The sequence below is a fragment of the Homo sapiens genome, chromosome 19 (assembly GCF_000001405.40).
Source record: "Homo sapiens chromosome 19, GRCh38.p14 Primary Assembly".
Taxonomy (NCBI): Eukaryota; Metazoa; Chordata; class Mammalia; order Primates; family Hominidae; genus Homo; species Homo sapiens.
In genome coordinates, this window is record NC_000019.10 from 13354822 (window position 1) to 13377917 (window position 23096).

A 23096-nucleotide genomic window follows, 5' to 3' on the forward strand; every position below is an offset into this window, starting at 1 on the left:
AGAGGAGAACACACACAGACACACGAAGGGAGGATGCTTTTCTTTTTCTTTTTTTTTTTTTTTTTTTTTTTGAGACGGAGTCTCATTCTGTCACCCAGGCTGGAGTGCAGTGGCATGATCTTGGCTCACTGCAACCTCCATCTCCCGGGTTCAAGTGATTCTCCTGCCTCAGCCTCCCAAGTGGCTGGGATTACAGGCACCCGCCCACCACGCCTGGCTAATTTTTGTATCTTTAGTAGAGATGGGGTTTCACCATGTTGGCCAGGCTGGTCTCAAACTCCTGACCTCAAGTGATCTGCCTGCCTCGGCCTCCCAAAGTGCTGGGATTACAGGCGTGAGCCACTGTGCCCGGGCTGGGAGGATGCTATTAGATGACAGAAGACTGGAATGGAGAATGAAGGCTCTAGAAGCCAAGGAATCCCAAAGATTGTGGGAAACCAGCAAAAGCCAGGAAGAAGCAAAGAAGGATCCTCCCCCGGAGGCTTTTGAGGGGCGTGTTGTCAGCTCTGCTAACATCTTGGGGTTGGACTTCTGGCTTCCAGAACTGTCAGACCATAAATTCCTGTTGTTTTAAGCTACTCAGTCTGTGGTGCTTCATTATAGCAGCCCCAGGAAATAAATCTAAAAGTTCATCCCAGGAAATACCAGACAGGGAAGGGAAGGTGGCAAGTGAAGGGTGTGTACGTGACCAGGTTAACCCTGCGGGCAACCAGAGCCTGATCCCACTGGAGAGATGCAGGGCAGAGCAAAACGCCCGACAGGGAGGGAGCTGGGGTATTTATCCACTGACTTCTCCAGGCACTGGATGGGGGCTGCTCCTAGGGGTTGTCCATGCAGGCCAGGTGATCACAGCAGCCCCAGAGAGAGGCAGAGAGTGACAGCTGATTGCAGTATAAGGCATCCCCGTCCTCAAGGAACCTTGGTCTTCTGACCCAGGGTTTCCTGACAGAAACCTTACTGACATTTGGGCCTGGATCATTCTCTATGGTGGGGCAGAGGTGGGGGATGCTGTGCATTGTAGAATGTTGAGTAGCATCCGTGGCCTTTACCCACTTGATGCCAATAGCATCCTCCTTCTTCCCATCCAGTTGTGACAACCAAAAATGTCTGCAGCCACTGCCAAGTGTCCCCTGGGGGCAGAAATCATCCCTGGGCGAGAAGCTGTGTTCTAGGTTCACATTAAGGCCAAATCATTGCATGGGCTGCTAACCAAAGGACGAGGGTGGGATGTAAATGTGTGGAAAGTGCTAGAAAGCTACTCTGAGTTAGTGGTTAATAGCAGGGCCAGCGAGGGGAATAAAGTAAGACCTCTCACACCTCACTCCACTTCCTCAGGCACTGCTGGAGCTGTTCTAATGAAAAATTCATGCACATTTCTAAAAGGAACACCATGCAGGGTGGGGAATTTGACTTACACGGAGGTCACCCCGGGCCAGGATCAGTTCTAAACACTTCATGCGAATCCACCTTACTTAGTCCTCGTGCCTTGTGAGGTGGGACTATGCTTCTCTTCGTTTTGCACATGTGGAAATAGTGGCACAGAGAGGCCAAGCACCTTGCCGAAGGCTGCACAGCAAGGAAGTGGAAGAGTCGGAAGGAACCCAGACAGGCTGACACCTGAGTCTCTGCTCTTAACCACTCAGTTTGTGTCCCCAGAGGTGGCTTAGCTCTAAGCTTAGAGGCTTCCAAGGGAAACACCCATTGGACAATGATGTTTATAACCGAGCCCTCTGGAAATTCATGCTTCCTGTCCCACCACTGGGCACGCCCCCAGCATCTTAATCTGAACCCCCAGACGCTTTCTCTGGTCATCCAACCCTGTGACATATCCCTTTTTTATGCTCACAATTTTTTTCAGCTCCCATTCCCCACTCCCATTCTCTCCCTGAGTTCCCAGCCTTCTCCATTTCCCAGTCTCTTTCCCTCTCAGGAGGGTTCATTTCCTGCTGGAACCTCCTCTCACACCAGCCTTGCAAAGTAAAAACCTAGAACCCACAAAAATTCCCCAGTGAGTTTTGGCCAATTGGGCTGACCCTTTGTCCAAGCTGTTTGCAGGTGACGGCCAAGAGAGGGCCTGAGCTCGGATCTGCTGCATGTTCCCAGAGATGCTACACTCAGACGAGGTTTTCATGCAAATTAGAACACCATGTCCCTTCCCCACATCCTTTTTTCTGTCAATAAATTATCAGGATAACAGTAGAAATCGTATGTTGTCTATGATATGAATGACATTCTTGTGCAGTGCGTGACAGGCGCAACTGTTCATGTGGCTCCTTTTGCTGCCTACTCCCAACTAAAACGGGCCTTTGTTGATCAGGATTACAAGGATGAGTTTTTGCAAATCTCCCTCCACCCACAAGTGGGGAAATTCCTTAACCCATTTATGCCGGAGGTTGCAATTTTTGTGTGTGTGAAAAATCCGACCTTAGTGATGACCTTGAGCAGCAGGATGTAAATAACTCCCACAGGATTAGCATTCCAATAATGGAACACTAGGCATAAATGGGTTGTTAAGGAACATACACTAGGACCAAGAGGAAAGTTCAGCTTCTCTATGTACAGGAGGAGGAAGCCAGGTATTGCTCCCGGGTCAGGCCAACCGCTGGCCTAAACTTCAATGGTAATTTCAGCCCTTAGGGCAGGTGAAGAGGAGACCTCCACTGGTCAACAGAGCTGTGTGTATGGAGCAGCCCCAGGGTGCTCTATGGGGTCACTACAGTTGTGGCATCCTTGTGTTTGATCCTGAATCCTTGGCTCTGCCCCACTCCAGCTGCTGACAAGTGACCTGCCTGGGGACTGCTTACCTGCATAGTAGGTGAGGGAAGGTGAACTGTGGTGAGGACAGAGTGGGGTTTAAAACTTGCACACCTAAATATCTATCAAAATTATAAATGCATTTAGGCTGGGTGCAGTGGCTCACACCTGTAATCCTAGCACTTTGGGAGGCTGAGGCAGGAGGATTGCTTGAGGCCAGGAGTCTGAGAGCAGCCTGGGAAACATAGTGAGACCCCATCTCTATAAAATTGTTCTTAAAAATTAGCTAGGTATGGTGGTGTGTGCCTGTGGTCCCAGCTACTCAGGAGGCTGGGGTGGGAGGATCACCTGAGCCCAGGAGTTTAAGGCTGCAGTGAGCTATGATTACACCACTGCGCTCCAGCCTGGACGACAGAGGGAGACCTTGTCTCCAAAAAAACAAAACAAAAATCTTCCCCAAAAATAAAATTATAAATGCATTTAGTCTTTGATCCTGCAATCCCACTTCTGGGAATGGAGACCCTCCAACCCCCTAGCTATATCTGCAAAAGTATGAAGAGGTACGTGCAACATGCTCCTGGCAGAGCAGCATCATGTTCCATGTCAGTGGACAGGAAGCCAGTCAAGCATTTCTCTTAATGGCAAACAAATAAAACTATGGGCAGCCACACAATAGAATGCTATGCAGCTGTGCAAAAGAATAAAGAAGGCCAGGCGTGGTGGCTCACGCCTGTAATCCCAGCACTTTGGGAGGCAGAGGCGGGAGGATTGCTTGAGCCCAGGAGTTCCAGACCTGCCTGGGCAACACGGAAGAACCCTGTCTCTACAAAAATTAGCTGGGCATACTAGTGTGCACCCGTGAAGAGACTGTCCATGTCCTGCAGTGGAAAGATCTCTAGAACGTGTGGTTATGAGAAAACAAAAATCACAGAATTGAACAGCATGTATAGAATGCTACTCCTTGGGATAAGAAAGAGGGGGGAGGACATAGATTCGATTATGCTTATAATTATAATTGCATAAATAAACATTGGAAGGATATTCTGAGGAACTAAAGGGGTTGCATATTGTGGGAAGAGGAAGTAGCATGCAAGTGGGGGCAGGGATACATCTTTCCAGAAACATCCCTAACATTTTTAAGATCTAGGGCAAGAGTACAAAAGCAGACCACATACTACGGGGAAATATTGAAAAGGTAACTAAATAAAACATGCTGTGTGCTTCTACTTTGCAAATATACCTTCCTTTACACTTTGGAAGGTCAGGGTGGAATTTAGAATCCGGATATCTGCACTGGGTCAAGGTGTGGGGAGAGCCAGCCCTGTCCTGTCCCTTTCTCTTCTTAGTCATGGCTCTGTCCTGCCAGAGGGGCTCCACACATATGTGTGGGCATTCCAGCTTGTACATCCAAGCTCTGGCCACATTTGTGTTAACAGCCACCCCTCGGATGTCCTTGGCCCTCAGTTGGGTTACGAACAGATCCATATGAGAATTGCACGCAAGTTCATGGAATCTGGCCATGGGCAGGGAATTCCAGGATCCTGGTAACTTAAAACATGGCCTACAAAGTGGGGCACAAGCTCTTGGTAGACACATCCCCTTGGCTCCAGGAACTTCTCATCCCACGGGGAGTGGTATGGCTGGAGAAGGACTGGGTGAGCCTCAGGGCAGGGACCCCTCGCCTACGTCCAAAGATATTACTCTATCTTTTATCTGTGTTGGTTTTTGGATCACATAACCTTTCCGTATTCAAAAATCTAAAATTATATCTAAACACTTGCACAATGAAAAATGATGTTGCATCTGGGGGCCCTCCAGACTTCTATGCCCTATAGTTAGAGTTCTGCTCATGAGCCCCTGTAATCTTCAAAAGCCTGAGCCTCAGGCCAGCTTCAGTGGGGCTGTGTTGTCCTTGGGCTGCCTTTCCCAGCTCAGGGTCCCTCCATTGCAGCCTTGGAGTCTCACTGGTCCCAGGAGGCCACCTCCCTGAGACTCTGATTGTCCACACACACTGTCCCAGCATCACTTACATTGTAGAGGAGATCAGTCCACCCTTCCATGGTTATGCACTGGAAAACAGTCAGCACTGCAAACAGGATGTTGTCGAACTGAGTGATCCCGTTGTTGGGCCCTTCCCAGTAGGGCTGACATTTGGTCCCATTGGGGCAGGTGCGGGCGGGCTCTTCTGTCCCACATGGAGCCGGAGACTCACCCTGAATGTCATCTACAAAAGGGAAGGGGAGAAAAGTCAGGGGAAGGAGCAGGGAAAACCAGCTCTGAGAAATAGGGACCAGTGACTCTATAATGCTGTTGGAACGAATAACTTTTGGGACAAACGTGATCAGTCTTCAAAGAGATCAATGTTTGGCTTTGGGGGTCTATTATTGGTTTTCTATTGATTAATTTCTTCTCTGAGCTTTACTACTTTTCTCTTTATGTTTTCCATGAGTTTTTTTTTTTTTTCTATTCTTTTCCTAAACTTTTGAGATGGATGGATTAACTGCCTTTAAGGCTATAAATTGCCTTTAAGTGTGGCTTTACCTGCATCTCAACATTTTGTCATGCATTATCATTATTGTTCAAGTAAAATATTTTCTAATTTCCATTATTATTTCTTCTTTGACCTATGGGTAATTTAGATGTATTTGTTTTTTAAAAAAACTTATTAGGTGTCTGTGTGTGTGTGTGTGTATATATATATATATATATATGAAGACAGAGGGGAGAGGAAGACAGGGAGAGAACGGGGGGAGAGAGAGAGCGAGAGAGAAGTATAAAACAATATAATGATTCACCATGTACCTATCACCAATTTAGACACTTACCTATTTACTTCTGGCAAATTTTGTTTCATCTATTCCTCTGTATCCCCTCCAAACACTTTGCCTTGCCACTAGAATTTTTTTTTTTTTTTTTTTTTGAGACGGAGTCTCATTCTGTCACCCAGGCTGGAGTGCAATGGCATGATCTCACCTCACTACAATCTCCGACTCCCAGGTTCAAGGGATTCTCCTGCCTCAGGCTCCCAAGTAGCTGGGATTATAGGTGGCCACCACCACACCTGGATAATCTTTGTATTTTTAGTGGAGATGGGGTTTCACCATGTTGGCCAGGCTGGTCTCGAACTCCTGACCTCAAGTGATCCGCCCGCCTCGGCCTCCAAAGTGCTGGGATTACAGGCGTGAGCCACTGCACCCAGCCTAGAATATTTTTAAAGCAAAGCTCAGACATCATATCATTTCATCCATAAATGAGAGGCATGTCTGTTAATCTGCAAACACTTTTAGAGTTCTCTTTTTGTTACTGATTTCCAGCTTAATTGCATTACGGTCAGAAAATATGTTTTGTATTTGTATTTTTTTCAGCTTTTTGACCTCTGTTGAGACAAACTTTATGGTCCATAATATAGTCAGTTTTAGTAAATGTGCCGTGTGCATGGTGTAGCTGGTAAGTGCAGCCTTCTTCCGACATCCATTAGGACAAATTTGTCAAGCGCATTGTGTTATTCTCCTATAAGCCTTGCTGATTTTTTTCTTCTTGGGATGTACTGGGCTCAGGGAGCTGTTCTGGGGGTGAGGGACACCAGTACACACAGTTCCTACCCTTGCCTAAGGGTAAGGAACAGGAGCTGAGCTTTCTCCCCAAATAGCAGGAGGCAGGCTGTGAAAATGCCACAAGGAGAGAGAAACGTGCCAACAGACACCCCTTTTGCTGGAAACCAAAGACAGCTTCCTGGGGAGGTGGCAGTCAGGCTGAACGCTAAAGGTCAGTCCAAATCTTAAGGTATTGATGGGGTAGGGAGGCAGGAAAGCTCACATCTGGGAGTGTCCTCATTTTACCAGCACAGCGGGTCTGAGAGGACCTTATTCTGTGAGCGATGCTTTTGAAGGTTTTCAAAGACGACCGTGGCATTGTCGGACAAGAAAACAAACAGCTGAGTGTGTGTAAACTCAAGCTTCCTACTCAACAAAAATATCTCTCAATGTATGTGCTACAGACTTCGCAGCACCAATTCTCTGCTCCCTTGACTGAGCACACAGCAGAGGGAAATAAACCAATGCTGAATGAATGAATCTTGTTGGCCTTTCAAGCTCTGGCTGAATAGAAACTCCAAGTCTAGCCTCGCCATGAACTTAAGTTGTTGGAAACGCCTTCCTCACTTATGCTGGACTTGGTACATGAACTATTATTTGATAAATACAGGTTGGAAGGCAAAAATCTTTTAAACATAAGGCTCAGGGCAGAGAACAAAATAAATCCATGGGTTCCTATAATAAATGAGAACTATCGTTTAGCATGGCACCTGTGCCTGGAATCTTCTCTGTCTCCACGCCATGTCCAAGTCTGGCTCAATTCCCACCCTCCATGTAGCCTCTTTGTGTAGCCCAGTTAACACAGCCCCAGTCCCTCCCTCCCTCCCTTCCTTCCTTCTTTCCTTCCTCTCTCTCTTTTTTTTTTTTTTTTTGAGACAGGGTCTCACTTTGTCACCCAGGCTGGAGTGCGGGCACCATCATAGCTTACTGCAGCCTTGCAGCCTCCAATTCCTGGGCTCAAGTGATCCTTCTTCCTCAGCCTCCTGAGTAGCTAGGACTATAGGCATGTACCACCACTCATGGCTAATTTTTAAATTTTTTTATTTTGAGACAAAATCTCACTCTGTTGCCCAAGCTGGAGTGCAGTAGCGTGATCTCGGCTCACTGTAACCTCTATGTCCCAGGTTCAAGTGATTCTCCTGCCTCAGCCTCTCAAGTATGTGGTACTACAGGCACACGCCACCATGCCCGGCTAATTTATTTTTTTTGTATTTTTAGTAGAGACGGGGTTTCACTATGTTGGCCAGGCTGGTCTTGAACTCCTGACCTTTTGATCCGCCTGCCTCGGCCTCCCAAAGTGCTGGGATTACAGGCGTGAGCCACTGCACCCGGCCAATTTTTAAATTTTTATTTTAGCAGAGACAGGGTCTGGCTATGTTGCCTAGGCTGGTCTCAAACTAACGGCCTCAAGGGATACTCCCACCTCAGCCTCTCAAAGTGCTGGGATTACAGGTGTGAGCCACTGCACCTGGCCCCTTTCAGGCATACAATAGCTACTGAATTTTCATATTTAGGGGGGCGTGGGTATAATCACACATTAGCCTTCACTGTTAAAAATGGCTGCAAATGAGGGGTCTTGTTTCCTCTAACTATTTTGGAAGCTCTTAGAAAGCAGGAAGCCTTCCACTTTATCTTTGCTTCCTTCTAAGCGATTGGCACGGTGCTGGGCACACAGGAACTGGGCTCCCGACACTGAGGAATGCTACTGAAAACGGGTCTATCTTTAGCAGCTTTGCAATCCCCCTCAACCCCCCAACCACCGACACGAAACACTCTGAGCGTTGCTTCTAGAAAAACAAGCGTCCAGAGTGTCTGAGGAATTCGGTTATAAATACATTTTAAAATTAACCCACTGCCTGGGTGTCTGTATATATCTGTCTCTTACTCACACGTCTTATATTTTTAATCGTGAGCTAGCTTTTCAGTCTTTCTCCTAAATCGAGGCTTCCTCCCCTCTGGTGGCACCACCCACATCTGTCCCCTCAAAACCCCACTCGGACCCAAGCCAACCCCATGGCCTCTTCTCCTTTAGCTAGTCTAGGGTAGAAAAACATAAAATAAAACTTCACAGAAACCTAGGATCCAGGAGTCCTGGTTTCTCTGCTCACGGCTGATTTTTCCAAGAGGCCCTGCCCCATATTCATTCTCTCTCTCTCTCTCTCTCTCTCTCGCATTTCCGCCTGGGTGACGAGGCCAGGAGCAGAAATAGCTCTGCCTCAATTAACACCTTCTTCATCGGGGAAAGAAATAATTAGGACATTCCATATTGAGCAAACTTCACAAGCCCAGGAGAGAAAGAGACAGGAGGAGCAAGAGAAAAAGAGGAAAAAAAAAACCAACAAACCAAAACCCACAAAAAAACCCAAACCTCCAACCATTGCAAATAAACCTTCCCCAGTGGGTTTTCCCTCCCCGTGGGGAGGAGTGGGGAGGGAGGGCTCAGGGGCTGCCTCTGCGGATCCACTTGGGGGTCACTGGGTGGAGAGGGTGGGTGGAAATCCACTCCCAGACAGAATCTTCTTCTGTGGCTGCCTTTCCCAAATAAGGGGCCTGAAACCTCTTTCTCTGCCCACCTGGGTTCCCCTTTGGGCTTCTTGATTCCTTCTATCCACTCCTTCAATTCACAGCTCCCTTGACCCAAATCATCAGAACCAGAACTGCTATTCAGTCTGTCTGCACCCAGATGGCCAGTGGTCCAAATACTGAAATACTGAAGGCATCCCTTCCTACTTGATTCCATTTCATTCTGGAGCTTTAGAGAGCAAGCAGCTAGAGTTTGGATGGCAAAGATTTAACTGAAAACGTATCCAAGGGCTATTTGGTTCCTGAGTGTGGATCGTGGTGGACACACTGCTTCCACACTGCTGGTTCAGAGCTGAGCCCTGGGAGAGTGTCTCTGCGCTGCCTGGCTTTTCCGGGGCTCACCCTACCCCCAGACCCAGCCACTGAAGGGTTAATGTGGGCATAGTCAGGGAGGGGCAGAATGCTGCTGAGTGCTAGGTTCTGATTGGTTGGTGCCAGGACTCCCAATTGGGGTATCTCTGGTACATCCTGGGGGTTGGGGGAGACCAGGAGGACTCATCCAGTACTCTCACCCAGCACTCAGGGCAGAGAACAAAATAAATCCATGGGTTCCTATAATAAATGAGAACTATCGTTTAGCATGGCACCTGTGCCTGGAATCTTCTCTGTCTCTCACCTTCCACAAGGTACCACTCACAATGCATTGAGGCAATAACCCTTTTCTGGCCCAACTCTCCCCACTTCTTGCTTGCTTTAGAAGTCAGGACTGGTCGAGGTCTGAAAGCACCCAGAATACCTGTTCCACTCAGCCAGATGTGCCAGGCATTAATTCCCACTCTAGGAGCAGTCCTCACCAATGTCAAAAAGAAGCCAGTGTATAAATACCCCAGCTCCCTTGCCCCTTGGCTGGGACGGCTCTGAGGTGTGTGTTCTTTTTTTATTTATATTTTTATTTATTTATTTATTTGAGATGGAGTCTCACTCTTTCGCCAGGCTGGAGTGCAGTGGTGTGATCTTGGCTCACTGCAACTTCTGCCTCCCGGGTTCAAGTGATTCTCCTGCCTCAGCCTCCTGAGTAATTGGGACTACAGGTGCCTGCCACCACACCCAGCTAATTTTTGTATTTTTTAGTACAGATGGGGTTTCACCATGTTGGCCAGGATGGTCTCTGACTCCTGATCTCAGGTGATCCACCCGCCTTGGCCCCCCAAAGTGCTGGGATTACAGGCGTGAGCCACCGTGACCAGCTGAGTTGTGTGTTCTTTGCTGTCTCCCAGAGGTGCCCAGGGGGATCCAGTCCCAGTTTTAAGTGGTAACCCGCTTGATAGCACACTCTTTAAAAGATCCCTTCTTTCTCTGCTCACTTCCTCATTCCCCCGATGGTGCTTCCTGGGATCATTCCCAAATAAACTCTTTCTCTGCTGGGTCACCTTCTGTGGAACCCCACCCCTTTCAACAGCTAAGATCTCAGAGGCTATTTCACTCACTGCCTCTCCTGTAGTGCTCTCTGAAGGAGACGGTCCTCCCAGCTGCCAGGAGAAAGAAGCACACCCCTGCCTAATCCTCCCAAGAGCTTGTCCCTGAAGGAGAAAACTGGAAAGATGCATCATGCTCCGTGGACCTACCTGTCCCCTCTTCAAAGCAGGTGGTATGAAATTTTCCCATATAAAATTCTAACCCTATGATTGCAAAAATAAGGATTGCAAAAAATAGGAGGAGGCCGATCTGCAGCAAAGGGATCATCGCCTTCATGATCGACTTCAGGACGACTTGTAAACCTGGGGGGACACAGAGAGAGGCCCCATAAGCCCATGAGCAAGTACCCCCAAACCCCGCCACCAAGACGCCCAGGTCTCTCCCAGACAAAGCAGGTGTGTTCCTGAGGGAACATTAAGCACCCAGGAGCCTGGGGATTGGGCAATGGTGAAGGAAGCACCACACGGAGGCTGATCCTTATCATGGGAACAACACTTCCTAGGTTTTTTTTTTCCTTTGAGACAGGGTTTTGCACTGCTGCCCAGGCTGGAGTGCAGTGGCACAATCACAGCTCACTGCAGCCTCAACCTCCTGGGCTCAGGTGATCCTCCTGCCTCAGTCCCTGCAATAGCTAGGACTACAGGCATGCACCACCATGCCTGGCTAAGTTTTAAAACTTGTTTGTAGAGATGGGGTCTTGCTATGTTGCCCAGGCTGGCCTGAAACCCCTGGTCTCCAAGGACTCAAACTCCTCAGCCTCCTAAAGTGCTAGGATTATAGGTGTGAGCCACCATACCTGGCCCCTATTATTATTATTATTTATTTTATTTATTTTTTTTGAGACAGAGTCTTGTTATATCGCCCAGGCTGGAGTGCAGTGGTGCCATCTCGGCTCACTGCAAGCTCCGCCTCCCAGGTTTACGCCATTCTCCTGCCTCAGCCTCCCGAGTAGGCCCAGCTAATTTTTCATATTTTTAGTGGAGACAGGGTTTCACCGTGTTAGCCAGGATGGTCTCGATCTCCTGACCTCGTGATCCACCCGCCTCGGTCTTCCAAAGTTCTGGGATTACAGACGTGAGTCTCCACGCCTGGCCTTATTATTTTTTAAAAAGCACTTTTAACTTTAAAGTATTTATTTATTTATTTATTTTAATTAGCCAGGCATGATGGTGCATGCCTGTAGTCCTAGCTACTCTAGGGACTGAGGCAGGAGGATCGTTAAGGCTGCAGTGAGCTATGATTGTGCCACTGCGCCCCAGCCTGAGTGGCAGAGCAAGACGCTGTCTCAAATAAATCTATATATATATTTTATAGAGACAGGGTCTCACTATGTTATCCAGGCTGGTCTCGAACTCCTGACCTCAAGCGATCTTCCAGCCTCTGCCTCCCAAAGTTCTGGGATTACAGGCATGAGCCACAGAGCCCAGCCAACTTTAAAGTACTTAATAAAGGTATTTGACATGCTGTTCCATTTGATGATCTTTTGGGCAAGAAAGGGGTGGGAGTCCATTGCTTTTGGAGCCATATTCCTGGGTGTTGGGCAACTTGCACCCAGAAGAGGGAGCCATTTTCTTAATTTTTTTTTTCTGCCAAGAGGCGGTGTCTTTTCCTCATTCATAAAAGGCCGCCATATAGGCTAGTTGCTGCTCTGGGTAGGAAAGCGGTTGGCGGTCCCAATTTCAACCCCAAGGAACCAGACTCAACATTATTTCACTGGCTTCTAGTGACAAGCCCCTGAGGTGGCCATACATGTAAAGTCACTCTCATTTTACAGAAGTGGGAAGCAAGGCTAACAGAGATGCTGTGATTCACCCAGAGAATGCATGAGAAATGGCAGAACTAGGCAGGGCGCGGCGGCGGTTCACGCCTCTAATCCCAGCACTTTGGGAAGCCGAGGCCAGCGGATTAACGAGGTCAGGAGTTCAAGACAAGTCTGGCCAACATGGTGAAACCCCATCTCTACTAAAAATACAAAAAATTATCTGGGCATGGTGGCCAGCGCCTGTAATCCCAGCTACTTGGGAGGCTGAGGAAGGAGAATTGCTTGAACTTGGGAGGCAGAGGTTGCAGTGAGCCAAGATGACGCCACTGTACTCCAGTCTGGGTGACAGAGCAAGACTCTGTCTCAAAAAAAAAAAAAAAAAAAAAAAAAGGCAGAACTAGGATTTGAACCCAGGTCCATCTGAAATGAAGCCCCATGTTTGCCCATGTGCTGATGTTGCTTTCTCTGTTCTGAGCAACCCAATTCAGAAAGATGGTGGTGAATAAGAAGGCAGGGGGCCAGGTGTGGTGGCTCACGCCTGTAATCCCAGCACTTTGGGAGGCCGAGGCGGGCAGATCACGAGGTCAGGAGATCGAGACCATCCTGGCTAATATGGTGAAACCCCGTCTCTACTAAAAATACAAAAAAATTAGCTGGGCGTGGTGGCGGGCACCTGTAGTCCTGGCTACTCGGGAGGCTGAGGCAGGAGAATGGTGTGAACCCGGGAGGTGGAGCTTGCAGTGAGCTGAGATCACGCCATTGCACTCCAGCCTGGGTGAAAGTGCGAGATTCCATCTCAAAAAGAAAGAAGGCAGGGAACAGTCCCCGAAGGGACACAGTGGAACAGAAGACACACCCAACTGGGCATCTGAAGACCTAAATCTGGGGGTATTGTCATCAATCAGGGACCCCATGCAAGCTCTTATCCTACCAAGCTCAGCCTCCAGTAGCCTCTCATCTAACAAATGGTTCATTCATGGCGGCTGAATTACTCTGGGCTTCAAATCCTTTTGGGAGAGGAAGGGGTTAATACTGAAATTCGCATCCTGCACTAAAAGTTCCACTGTTGTAAGACTCGAAGAATGTTAATAATAATAATAGCTGGCCAAGCGTGGTGGCTCACACCTGTAATCCCAGCACTTTGGGAGGCTGAGGCGGGTGGATCACTTGAACTCAGGAGTTTGAGACCAGCCTGAGCAGCGTGGTGAAACCCTGTCTCTACAAAATACAAAAAAATTAACTGGGCATGGTGCTGTGTGCCTGGAGTCCCAGCTATTTGGGAGGCTGAGATGGTAGGATTGCTTGAGTCTGGGGAGGTTGAGGCTGTACTGAGCTGTGATTGCACCACTGCACTCCAGCCTGGCGACAGAGCAAGAGCCTTAGTTAGTATTTCTCTGCCTATCATTGGCTTTTTTTTTTTTTTGAGATGGGCTTGCTCTGTCACCCAGGCTGGAATACAGTGGCATGATCACGGCTCACTGCAGCCTTGACCTCCTGGGCACAAGCGAGCCTCCTGCCTCAGCCTCCCGAGTAGGTGGGACTACAGGCACACTTCACCATACCTGGTTCCACTACCATTTTTTTCTTGAGGCTATTAACTCAGGTCTGAACGATGACAACATCCTATGTTTGTAACCACTATGGTATCTACTAGGAAAGTCTATGATCAAAATGAAGGTTCAAACATATAGCCTGAGGCTTTGCTTCTTGATTGCAGGAACTTCCCATGGCTCTTGATGGGTGGAGACCACAGTAAGAGAGGGAAGCTGTCAGGATAGCTCGAGGGGCCATGCCACTCCAAGGGCTTAAAAATGTAATGTGGGTGCTGGCCGGGCGCGGTGGCTCACGCCTGTAATCCCAGCACTTTGGGAGGCCGAGGCGGGCGGATCACGAGGTCAGGAGATCGAGACCATCCTGGCTAACACGGTGAAACCCCGTCTCTACTAAAAATACAAAAAATTAGCCGGGCGTGGTAGCGGGCGCCTGTAGTCCCAGCTACTCGGGAGGCTGAGGCAGGAGAATGGCGTGAACCCGGGAGGCGGAGCTTGCAGTGAGCCGAGATCTCGCCACTGCACTCCAGCCTGGGCGACAGAGCGAGACTCCGTCTCAAAAAAAAAAAAAAAAAAAAAAAATGTAATGTGGGTGCTAACAGATGCAGTGTGGTGCAGTGGTTAAGGTGCTGGATACTCTTGGTGTCTGGCCAAGATCCCATTTTCTTTCTGGTGTACCCGCCCTCCAGCTGCTATGGATGTTGGTTGCTAATGCCTCCCAGCTGCCTCTCTTCTTAGTAGAATTGCCCTTGGTGATCAAAAGCTATCTCACCTGGGAGCTACTGCGTCTCTACCTCCCATCCACAGTGACTGACTATAGAAGTACAAAAGGCCGGCATCCTTGCCATGCATTGGAGGACAACTCTGGTGTCACACACACTCCAGCTGAAATTGCGTCCCTGCTCTATCCATTCCCCAGCCCCACCCTGCTGATCTCCTGCTGTCTCTCCCAAGAGCCGTCCCCCAATAAAGCAGGTGCATCTGAACACCCACCTAAGTATCCGCTTCAAGGGAACCTGACCTAGTCATCCACTTACTAGTGAATTCCAAACCTCAGCTTCTCCATCTGTAAATGGGGACTGCAATAGTACCTCCCTCATACGATTAGATGAGAGAGTTCACACACAGTGAAGTACCTGGTAAGTCATAGGTGGTCATTAAACAGAGACTCTTGTTACTACTGCTATTATAATATACATATATTTTTTGAGACAGGGTCACACTTTGTTGCCCAGGCTGGTGTTGAACTCCTAGCCTCAGGCAATCGTCCTGCCTTGGCCTCCCAAAGTGCTGGGATTACAGGTGTGAGCCACTGCACCTGGCTCTTTTGACTATTAGATTTGGGATGGCCCTTAATTTAATATGATGCAGGCATCTGCTGGGATCTTGCAGAGACCTTGGATAGAAGTGTCTTCTTTCTACAAAAAGATCCTGCTGGTGATCCTCTGGGAAATCTTACTCTTTAAACCTGGGTAGCAATGAACCGGAAGAACGAAGCCAATAAAATGTAAAATGGTGATAATAAAAGAGACTACTTCACAGGCTTGTTGGGAGGATAAAGGACTTTAAAAAAATGGAAATACTTAGAATAATGTCTGGCACATAGTAAGTGCTTTTTAATTTTTTTTTTTCTTTTTTTGAGACGGAGTTTCACTCTTTCATCCAGGCTGGAGTGCAGTGGCGTGATTTCAGCTCACTGCAACCTCCGCCCCCCGGGTTCAAGTGATTCTCCTGCCTCAGCCTCCCGAGTAGCTGGGATTATAGATGCCCGCCACCACGCCCGGCTAAGTTTTGTATTTTTAGTAGAGACGGGGTTTCCCCATTTTGGCCAGGCAGGTCTCGAACTCCTGACCTCAGGTGATCCACCCATCCACCTTGGCCTCCCAAAGTGCTAGGATTATAGGCATGAGCCACTGCACCCAGCCTATAAATTGTTTGTTTTTAAACTTTTTGTTGTCTGTTTTTTTGAGACAAGGTCTCACTCTGTTGTCCAGGCTGGAGTGCAGTGGTGCTATCACAGCTCACTGCAGCCTTGACCTCCTGGGCTCAGATCCTCCTGCCTCAGCCTTTTAAGTAGCTGGGACTACAGGTGTGCACCATCATGCCTGCTAATTTTTTTTTTTTTTTGAGACAGGGTTTCGCCATGTTGCCCAGGCTGGTCTTAAAACTCCTGAGCTCGCTCTATCTGCCCGCTTCGGTCTCCCAAAGTGCTGGGATTCCAGGTGTGAGCCACTGTGCCCAGTCAACCTGGCTAATTTCTAAAAAAAAAAAAAAAATTTGTAGATATTGGCGGGGGGGTGGGGGTGGTGTTCCTCACAATGTTGCCCAGGCTGGTCTCGAACTTGTGGCCTCAAGTGATCCTCCCAAAGTGCTGGAATTACAGGCATGAGCCACCATGCCTGGCTAAATTATTATTATTAACCAAGACAAGAAGATAGAAAAAGGACAGCCCTGTTTTATTTTTGCTTTTTACATTTTTTTTTGGCTCAACCTACACTTAATCTTGACCCTGCATATGGCAGCCACCCTTAAACGGGGACTAGATGTATCTGTGGAGAATGAGAAAGCAGCAAGGAATGAGTATGAATTTTAGAGCTCATTACTGTCCACTCTAAGAATTCAGGTGAGTAATTTAACCTCCTTAAGCCTCAACCGTCTCATCTGTAAAATGGGTGTTCGCTGGGTGACTGTGAGGATGAAATAAGGTAATTCATGTAAAGTCCTTCTGTAGTGCCCTGCACGCAGCAGGCACTCATTAAATGGGAATGGTCATTGCCACCAGTGGTACGGCCCAGGCTTGGAGTCACACTTGCTCACTCCTAGTTCTGCCACTTCTCAGCCACAAAACCCTGCTCCAATGTTTCAGCCACTCTGAGCCTCAGTTTCCCCCTCCATAAAATAGAGACATCAGTCCTATCAACTTCATAGGGCTGTGAGTACTGAATGAGATCACACGTGGTGCTTAGCATGGCTCCCGATAGACAGTAGGTGCTCAATAAATGGGTGTGGCTCCTAGTTTGCTTTCAGGAGCTCATGGGGAGCTACAGTCATATTCCTAGGGGGTTCCCTATAGGGAGTCCCAAAGAAGAGACTGCCCTCACACAGGCTGGTGGCAGGATGTGGCCTCCTGAGATGCTCTGCATAGGGGAAACTGAGGGCTCCTGGGGCCCGTGAGCAAACCCCTTGTCAGGGTCGGAAACTCACGCACTTGGGATTCCAGACACCAGCTTGAGCGGCCGCAGCACTCGAACTGCCCTCAGCGTCCGTAGGTCAAACTCCGTCCCAACTGTCGCCAAGATGCTGAAAGAAAGAAGCCAGAATGGAGAACAGAGGGTGGGTTTTGGGGGTCAGACAGCAGGGCGGGGGTGCTTGGGATTCCAAGCTGTCCTGTATTGGTTGGGTGACCACAGGCAGGTGACTCGACACCACTGGCCTCAGTTTTGTCACCTGTAAAATGGTCTTAACAGTACCTGCCTCACGGGATAAAAGGTGATTTACGAAGACCCCCAACAGATGGTTCATGTTGCACAAATGTTGCAATGAGAGAAATGGAATCTTCCCCATGGCTCAAGGTTGGGGTGACATTCAGTATATTTCACAACCTACAATGACAATAGATTGTGGGGTGGCCTGGGGCCCTGGGGGAATGGCAGACCTTTCGGGGTTTGTGGCTCTTTATTTTATTTTATTTTATTTTTTTGAGACAGAGTCTCACTCTGTTGCCCAGGCTGGAGTGCGATCTCCAATGGTGTGATCTCAGCTCACTGCAACCTCTGCCTCCCGGGTTCAAGGGATTCTCCTGCCTCAGCCTCCCGAGTAGCTGGGATTACTACGCACCCGCCATCATGCCCGGGTACTTTTTTTTGTATTTTTGTAGAGACAGGGTTTCACCATGTTGGCCAGGCTGGTCTTGAACTCCTGACCTCAGGTGATCCACCCGCCTCGGCCTCCCAAAGTGCTGGGATTACAGGCGTGAGCCATGGTGCCTGGCCTGGTTTGTGGCTCTTTAACAAATGGCAGGAAAGTAGTTCAGTGTTAAGAGCCCAGCCTGCATGGGTTCAGATCCCAGATCTGCCACTTTCCAGTTGGGTAACCTTGGGCAAGGGACATCCCTGCTCTGTGCCTCAGTTTCCCCCTTTTGTATAACCTGGATAACAATAGTATCAATACCTCCAAGGGTTGTGAGGATTCAGTAAGTTGACAAAAAGTGGTCAGCACAATGCCAGGCACACAGGTTACCGGTATGCTAACCTATTCAGAAATAAATAAGAAAACAAAAAAATGGGTGTGATCCTGCTTGTGTGGACCAGCCAGCATCAGCTGGCTAGAAGGCAGCTACAGACCCCAAGCCTCTGGTCAAAAAGAGTCCCTTTTGTAAATGCAAGTTAGTAAGGATGATAGCAGTAGGTGGGATGAGGCTTCCATAGAAACCCTCCGAGCAAGACCCTGTCATGAGACCTCATTTGTAAAAGTATTGCTGTTGAAACACAGGGTCCCACCTGGCCCTGTTTCCTGAACATGTCCATTTCAGAGCTAAGTGATGTACAGTGCGTGGTCAAGGCACAATACAATAAAAGAGACTGTCATCAGAACTTCATATAATGGACAAGAAATGCTGAATACCAGAGGGTCTGTGGTTAATGGAAGGTTGGTCACAGCAAATAACTTGGGGATTTTTCAGTTTATTTTTATTTTAGACATGGGGTCTTGCTCTGATGCCCAGGCTGGAATGCAGTGGTGCAATCATAGCTCGCTACAGCATTGAACTCCTGGGCTCAAGCAATCCTCCTGCCTTAGCCTACTGAGTAGCTGGGATTACAGGTGGGAACCACCACATCTGGCTTGATTTTTCAGTTTTATCCAGGGGCTTGGGTCTTAACACTTCAGTCTGTGGCCAACTGGTATCTGTACCTCTTGCCTTAGGGCTGTCTCCAAATCTGGGGCAGGCCCAGGGAATGAACTTTAAGGGAGCAGCCCTCAACCAAAGATTGCTGGGAGTTGGTGGATCAATACCGCAGCTCCCTCACCCTTCATTCTGGATCACTTAAGAGGTGAGTTCCACGTGGGCTCCCAGTAGGACGGAGCTCAGTTGCCTACAGGACAACTCACCCTTCCTTGCCCCACCTCCCCTCTCCTTCTCCAACCCTTCTGGGGTCACCTCTCAGATGAACTACTTGCACAAGGATTGCCCTAAATTCTTGTTTCAGGATCTATTCTGGGTCATCCTAAACTAACACAAAGCAAGTTCCCAACTTTTTTTCTCAAGATTACCCCTAGAGGAGAGATGGGCATATTAGGTTGGGCTGACCTTTTCCACCATCCACAAGTGGGCGTCTGAGCGTATCCTATGTGCTGGGTAGAGTGACATATGAGACTATCCCTGCCCCATGGAGCTGATGCAGAAGAGAAGTGGTTAAGAAAAACATGCACACAATGAGTGAATCTGTTGCAGGTGTGATGCCTTCTCAGCTAGGAAGACAATGGCTTTGAGGGGCACACAGCAGGTCGTGTTAACTAGTCCAGGGCCTGGGATACCCCCTACTTCAAGTCAAGTTCCCATAGATGAGGGGGAGAAATCTGGCCAGTGGGGAAAGAACTTTCCAGGCTGAGAGTGGCCATGACAGAGAGCTTGGGACTGAAAGAGGGCTTGGCAAATTCAAGAAATGACATGGTGTCACCACTGGGATTTGGATGGTGAGGTTCAAGCAGCAAGTCATGAAGCCAGAGTAGGCAGGGGCCATGACATACAACTTTACAAAAAATGAATTTATTTATTTTTATTTTTGGAGACAGGGACTTATTCTGTCACCCAGGCTTGAGTATAGTGGTGCAACAACAGCTCACTGCAGCCTCAACCTCCTGGGCTCAAGCGATCCTCCCACCTCTGCCTCCTAAGCAGCTGGGACTACAGGTGTACAACAACATATTCAGAAAATTAAAAAATTTTTTTTGTAGAGATGGGGTCTTGCTATATTGCCCAGGCTGGTCTAGAACTCCTGGCCTCAAGTGATCCTCTCACCTCAGCCTCCCAAAGTGCTGGGATTATAGGTATGAGCTACTGCACTTGGCCCATTCAACTTTTAATTTGATTTACTTTATTTTTCTCTTCTCCTCCCAGCTTTCTGGTACTAATTTGGGTTCCTCAAATTCTGACTTAGAGATCACTATTCTCTTCTTGCACCTTGTTTTCTTCTGTGCTGGCACATAAAAGCTGTCAGGGCATGAACAGCAAAGAACAGGCAGTGGTTAAGTCCTTAGTATTTCACTTCACAAACATCAACTGAGCACTAATAACAAGCCAGGCCCTATCTCTGTGTGGGGGAGACTGAGAGTAAACCCAATAAATATAAGCAGGCTTTGTTTTGTTTTGTTCTAGAGATGGAGTCTCCCTGTGTTGCCCAGGCTGGCCTCCAACTCCTGGGCTCAAGGGATCCTCTTGCCTTGGCCTCCCAAAGTGCTGGGATTATGGACGTGAGCCACCACACCGGCCGAGGAAGACTTCATTTCATTGTGCTTTGCTTTATTGCAATTTGTAGATATTGTGTTTCTTACAAATTGAAGATTTGTGGCAACCCTGTGTCAAGGAGGTCTATCAGGGCCATTTTTTTTCCAACAGCGTGTGCTCACTTTGCGTCTCTGTGTCACACTCTGGTAATTCTTACGGTATTTCAAACTTTTACATAATTATTACATCTGTTATGGTGGTCTGTGATCAGTGATCTTTGATGTGACTATAGTCATTGTTTGGGGGTGCCACGAACCACATCCATAGAAGATGGCAAACTTGATCGATAAATATTGTGTGTGTTCTGACTGCTCTACCAACTGGCCATTTCCCCATCTCTCCCGCTTTCCTTGGGCCTTCCTATTCCCCGAGACATAACAATATTGAAATTAGGTCAGTGTATAACTGTACAATGGCCTTTAAGTGCTCAAGTGAAAAGAAGAGTTGCACGTCTCTCACTTTAAATTAAAAGCTAGAAATGATTAAACACAGTGAGGAAGGCGTGTCAAAAGCTGAGATAGGGCCAGGGATGGTGGCTCATGCCTGTAATCCGAGCATTTTGGGAGGCTGAGGTGAGAGGATGGCTTGAGCCTAGGAGTTTGAGACTAGCTTGGGCAAAATAGGGAGACCCTATCTCTACAGAAAATAAAAAAATTAGCTGGGTGTGGTGGTGCACACCTGTGGTCTCAGCTACTTAGGAGGCTGAGGTGGGAGGATCACTTGGTCCCAGGAAGTCAAGGCTGCAGTGAGCGGTGATTGCACCACTGCACTCCAGCCTGGGCAACGGAGTGAGACCCTGTCTCAAAAACAAAACAAACAAACAAACAAAAGGCCATAAGCTAGAGGTTAGCCAAGTTGTGAATGCAAAGGAAAAATTACTGAAGGAAATTAAAAGGGCTACTCTAGTAAACACATGAATGATAAGAAAGTAAGACAGGCTTCTTGCTGACATGGAGAAAGTTTTAGTGGTCTGGATAGAAGATCAAACCAGCCACAACATTCCCTTAAGCCAAAGCCTAATCCACAGCAAGCCCACAGCAAGACTGAGAGAGGTGGGGAAGTGCAGAAGAAAAATCTGAAGCTAGAAGATCTTGGTTCATGAGGTTTAAGGAAAGAAGGTGTCCCCATAATATAAAAGTGCAAGGTGAAGTGATAAGTGCTGATGGAGAAGCTGCAGTAAGTTATCCAGAAGATCTAGCTGAGATTATTAATGAAGCTGGCAACACTGAATAATAGATTTTTAATGTAGATGAAATGCCCTATTGGAAGAAGTTGCCATCTAGGACTTTCATAGCTAGAGAGGAGAAGTCAATGCCTGGCTTCAAAGCTTCAAAGGACAGGCTGACTCTCTTGTTAGGAGCTAGTGCTCCTGGTGACTTTAAGTTGAAACCAATGCTCACTTACCATTCCTAAAGTCCTAAGGTCTTAAGAATTATGCTGAATCTACTCTGCCTGTGCTCTATAAATGGAACAATGAAGACTGAATGACAGCCCGTCTGTTTATAGCATGGATAACTGATATTTTAAGCCCACTGTTGAGATCTACTCAGAAAAAAATATATATATAATATATAACACATAATATATGTTATATATAACATATGAGATATATAACACATAATATATGTTATATATAACACACTACACATATGTTATATATGATACACTACACATAATATATGTTATATATGATACACTACACATAATATATGTTACATATGATACACTACACATAATATATGTTATATATGATATATATAACACAATATGTTATATGTGACATATATAACACATAATATATGTGACATATATACACATAATATATGTTATGTGTGATATATAACACATGTTATATGTGATATATAACACATATGTTATATGTGATATATATAACACATGATATATGTTATATGTGATATATAATTTATATTACATATATGTTATATATATAATTTATATTACATATAACATGTTATATATATATATGTATTTTAGATGAAGTCGCACTCTTGTTGCCCAGGCTGGAGTGCAATGGCACGACCTCAGCTCACTGCAACCTCTGACTCCCAGGTTCAAGCGATTCTCCTGCCTCAGCCTCCAGGGTAGCTGGGATTACAGGCACCTGCTACCATGCCTGGCTAATTTTTTTGTATTTTTAGTAGAGTTGGGGTTTCACCATGTTGGCCAGGCTGGTCTTGAACTCCCGACCTCAGGTGATCCACACGCCTCGGCCTCCCAAAGTGGTGGGATTACAGGTGCGAGCCACTGTACCCAGCCAGAAAAAAGATTTCTTTCAAAATATTACTGCTGACAATGCACTGGTTATCCAGGACCTCTAATGGGCATGTACAAGAAGATGAATGTTGTTTTTATGACTTCTAACACAACATTTTTTTTTTTTTTTGAGACAGAGTCTCACTCTGTCGCTGCAGTGGTGTGATCTTGGCTCACTGCAACCTCTGTCTTCAAGAGGGTTCAAGCAATTCTCCTGCCTCAGCCTCCCAAGTGGCTGGGATTACAGTCATACGCCACCATGCCCAGCTAATTTTTGTATTTTTAGTAGTGATGGGGTTTCACCATATTGACCAGGCTGGTCTTGAACTCCTGACCTCAAGTTACCCACCTGCCTCAGCCTCCCAAAGTGCTGGGATTACAGGTGTGAGCCACCATGCCCAGCCACAACATTCATTCTGTAGCCCATGGATCAAGAAGTAATTCTCTATTTCAAGTCTTATGATTTAAGGGATACATTTCATAAGGCTATAGCTGCCATAGATAAATTCCTTTGATGCATCTGGGCAAAGGAAATTGAAAACTTTCTGAAAAGCATTCACCATTCTAGATACCATTAGGAACATTTGTGGCTGTTCCAGTGGCTCATGCCTGTAATCCCAGCACTTAGGGAGATCAAGGCAGGAGGATCACTTGAGGCC

At 47.3% G+C, this 23096-nt stretch overlaps 1 protein-coding gene across 5 annotated transcripts in view; it reads right to left on the reverse strand.

Annotated features, from left to right (window-relative positions):
- The window catches only part of CACNA1A (calcium voltage-gated channel subunit alpha1 A), a 300038-nt gene that overhangs the window by 148380 nt on the left and 128562 nt on the right, over positions 1 to 23096 (reverse strand). For all 5 annotated transcript variants that reach the window (NM_001127222.2, NM_001127221.2, NM_001174080.2 and 2 more), the window contains exons 4-6: positions 16867 to 16958; positions 10496 to 10648; positions 4785 to 4978 (exon numbers count right to left, since the gene is read on the reverse strand). In NM_001127222.2, the coding sequence (NP_001120694.1) occupies positions 4785 to 4978; positions 10496 to 10648; positions 16867 to 16958 (439 nt within the window). The remainder of the gene's footprint in view (positions 1 to 4784; positions 4979 to 10495; positions 10649 to 16866; positions 16959 to 23096) is intronic.